The sequence below is a fragment of the Homo sapiens genome, chromosome 8, assembly GCF_000001405.40.
Source record: "Homo sapiens chromosome 8, GRCh38.p14 Primary Assembly".
NCBI lineage: Eukaryota > Metazoa > Chordata > Mammalia > Primates > Hominidae > Homo > Homo sapiens.
Genome location: NC_000008.11, coordinates 2,459,859 through 2,463,111, shown reverse-complemented (window position 1 = coordinate 2,463,111; position 3,253 = coordinate 2,459,859). Strand labels below are relative to the sequence as shown.

Genomic DNA, 3,253 nt, shown 5'->3' with positions numbered 1-3,253 from the left:
GATCAAAAAAATCTACTTTGACTTTAAGACATTTAAAATATGCCTTTCTTGAATTTGTCCACAATGCAAATTTAATTTCTGAAACCTGAAGATAGATAAAACTCATTTTAATTGAGATGAAAACACAATCTGAAACCTCCCTAAATTTCTTCAGGGGTAGTTTAGGCTATGATTGATGAAGATTGTCATAACTGTACCACTTTCTTGATGTGAGAATGAGTTAACCCTGAAGCCATAAGTCTTAGTCCATCCAGAATTTTGTAACAAAAATTCCACCACTGGGGCCTGTGAAACAGTAGACGCGCCTTTCCCACAGTTCTGAGGCTGGAAGCTGGAGATCCGGGTGCTGTAGGCTCTGTGTCTGCTGAGGGTTTCCTGACTCAGATGGAGCCTGTTTGCTGCATCCTCCCATGGCGGAAGGGGTGAATGAGCCCCCTTAGGCCTCATTTACGGGGGTACTAAACCCATCTGAGAGGGCTCCACCCCCGTGGCCTAATCACTTCCCAAAGGCCCCACCCCTTAACACCCCCTCATACCATCCCTTTTCAGGTAGGAATTTCTACATAGGAATTTTAGAAGGACACAGACATCAGACTTCACTCTATTAAATCCAGTATTTTATTCCATTAAATCTAAAAGCCGTTGATGGGGAGATACACCACAGCTGTACGCACGACTGAAAAATGCTGCTGAAACAGTTATGACCATGCTTGATTTGTACATTTTAAAAAACTCTTTAAGACATACACAAATGTAGATTCTAATGTAACTCTGTTGGCATGTATCTGCATACATATGTTCCATATGAGTGTATGTGTGTGTATATATATATATATCTTATAATACATTGATAAAGGAATTCCTAAAACTTCACAGAATCTGCCTTTTCTTACACATTTTTAAATCTCGGACTCACGAATATTCATAATTTTCCGCCTGTCATTATTTCCTGCCATCAAGAGTATTGAAAATGCAGCGTTTGTACAAGCCTGCACGCCGGTAGTCAGTTCCAACCCCGACACTGGCTCTGCACGCTTAGTGCTGATGTTCTCTGGAATTCTTGATTTTACCAGAAGGTGTCAAGAAAAGATCCTCAGACAGCATTCCTTCTTTCTCCCAGGGCCCTTGCATGTTGTGGGGCCAGAAGCGTCCGGGCTGTACAAATAGTACCACCATCTTCCTGGAGTGACTGGGAGAGACACCTGGGATCTTGCTGGGTCAATAGTGACTGTGCAAGGCCATCCATGATAAAATGCGTTCCAACCTCAGACACATGAAAAGTGAAAAAAAGAAAAGGCATCTTAGAATCTGTGAAATGTTGTAATTAAAACTGGAACACGGTGGTTATGTTTGGATTAAGTACGGCTGTGCTCAAGACAAGCTCACCTGCCTTCTGCCTCCCGCTTCTGCCTCCTTCGTGTGGTCTCCAGCCTGGAGCTGGACGTTGGAGTGAACATGAGTGTAAATACAGAAAGCGTCGGCATGTTTTCAACAAGGAAATTCGTTTCTTTGCTCTGTGTGTTTGTGTGCCTGTCTAGGACAGTGTTGTAACTTCAGGAAAGATTAGAATCAGTGAACTCCTTCAGGGCTAGGACCGGGAATTCTATCTGTACTCTTTTTACCTTCTTGCCATCTTTCCTCAATTATTAATACATTACTCTCGCACAAGGAGGCAAAGCTCAGAGGTGTTAGTGCTCTTTTTTTTTTTAAAAAGCAACAAGTATTATAGATCTTTATTTTAGTAAAAGAAAATTGAATCTTCTGACAAGAGTTCCTATAGATTCTCATTTAGTCCAAATTGTTAGCCCAGAAGCCCCAGTGAACACAACCTGAATTTCGGGCTTTATACCACACGATACAAGAACCTGCAAATAAAAGAAAAATTCAAGGACTTTAGGATTCTTCTTGCTTCTCTTTTGCATCTGAGACTTCAAGAATACAATTCAAAAATTTCTCAGCTTAAACATTACATTGATTTAAAGTTTCGGATATTTCAAAGCCCTTTCTCTGGAATTGCCTTATTTGGTCTAAACCCAAGTCAAAACACCCTACAAGGGAAGAGCAGAGAGGGCTTGTTACACCCATTTCTCAGACGAGAAGACTGAGGAACAGAAGAGCCGAGAAGGCACTACTGGTGCTCTGTCCTGAGTCCTGGAACTGTCCCAAGAATACCGGCCTGATGTTAGCAAGCACCTTTCCCACGACCTGGCACTACCTACCTTTCATTGCGGTGTGGACCAGAGTCCGAGGAAGTGTGAGGCCCAGAGAGCGTGCGGGTGAGTGCGCCTGGACCCTCTGTCAGTCAAGATGTCCTTGGCTTTTCTCCTTGCTGCCCTGTTCCTTGTACAGCCACACCTATCTCCAAACCAGCTGCATCGACACCTTTGTTATTATGAGGATTTGATTGTAAGTTTTCTATCAGGCTATAGAGAGCTTAATTTAATGCAATGGAGAAATCTCCAAAAATAAAGCCCTTAAGTTTTTTTTTTTTCTTTGGCTTTGGACTTACAAAACCTCTCTCATCTTGATTGCCCTTTCTTGGCATAATAAATCAGATGTCCTCTTGTCCAAAAGGTGCAGTCATGGAATTGGCTACCCTAGATCTTAGCATGCTCTCATGGAATCAGCTGCCATAGATCTTAGCATTCTCTCCTGAAATTGGCTATGCTAGATCTTAGCATCCTTTAAGTCTCAATTTGATTTTCTTCCTCAGCTCCTCCAGGCAGGTGTGCGGGCTCAGCCACTGCACTTTCAGTCCCCTGCATGCATTTTCAAGGTGAAGTATTTGGTGGGGTTTTAGGAATTCTACTCTGACTGCAGACAGTAGTGTGGCCCATTTTGCTACAGGGCGCTAATAGACCTTTGTGATCTTTCCATGGTTTAGCCACCTAGGATGTGCAGCTTTTACTGTGATCAATGGCCTCTGAGGGTATGGAGTGGAGGTCAGAAGAAAATGCAAAGCAACTGGACGTTCCAGATGAGGAGCTGTTTCAAAATGAGGAGCCATTTCAGACAGAATGAGCTGTTCCAGAATGGGGAGCCATTCCAGAATGAGGAGATGTTCCAGAGTGTGTAGCCATTTCAGAATGAGGAGCTGTTCCAGGATGAGGAGCTGTTTCAGAATGAGGAACCATTCCAGAATGGGGAGCTGTTCCAGAATGGGGAGCCCTTCCAGAATGGGGAGCCATTCCAGAATGAGAAGCTGTTACAGAATGAGGAGCTGTTCCAGAATGAGAAGCCGTTCAAGCATGGG

At 43.4% G+C, this 3,253-nt stretch overlaps 1 annotated feature.

The window, feature by feature from the left end:
* Positions 1,761–2,961: an enhancer, noted in NCBI's record as "BRD4-independent group 4 enhancer chr8:2206168-2207367 (GRCh37/hg19 assembly coordinates), duplicate 2 on the GRCh38 assembly". NCBI's record gives its function as "activates an origin of replication core promoter dependent on BRD2, P300/CBP, MED14 and CDK7 cofactors, and independent of BRD4, by STARR-seq in HCT116 cells {active_cell/tissue: HCT116}" and the evidence as "EXISTENCE:reporter gene assay evidence [ECO:0000049][PMID:35650434]".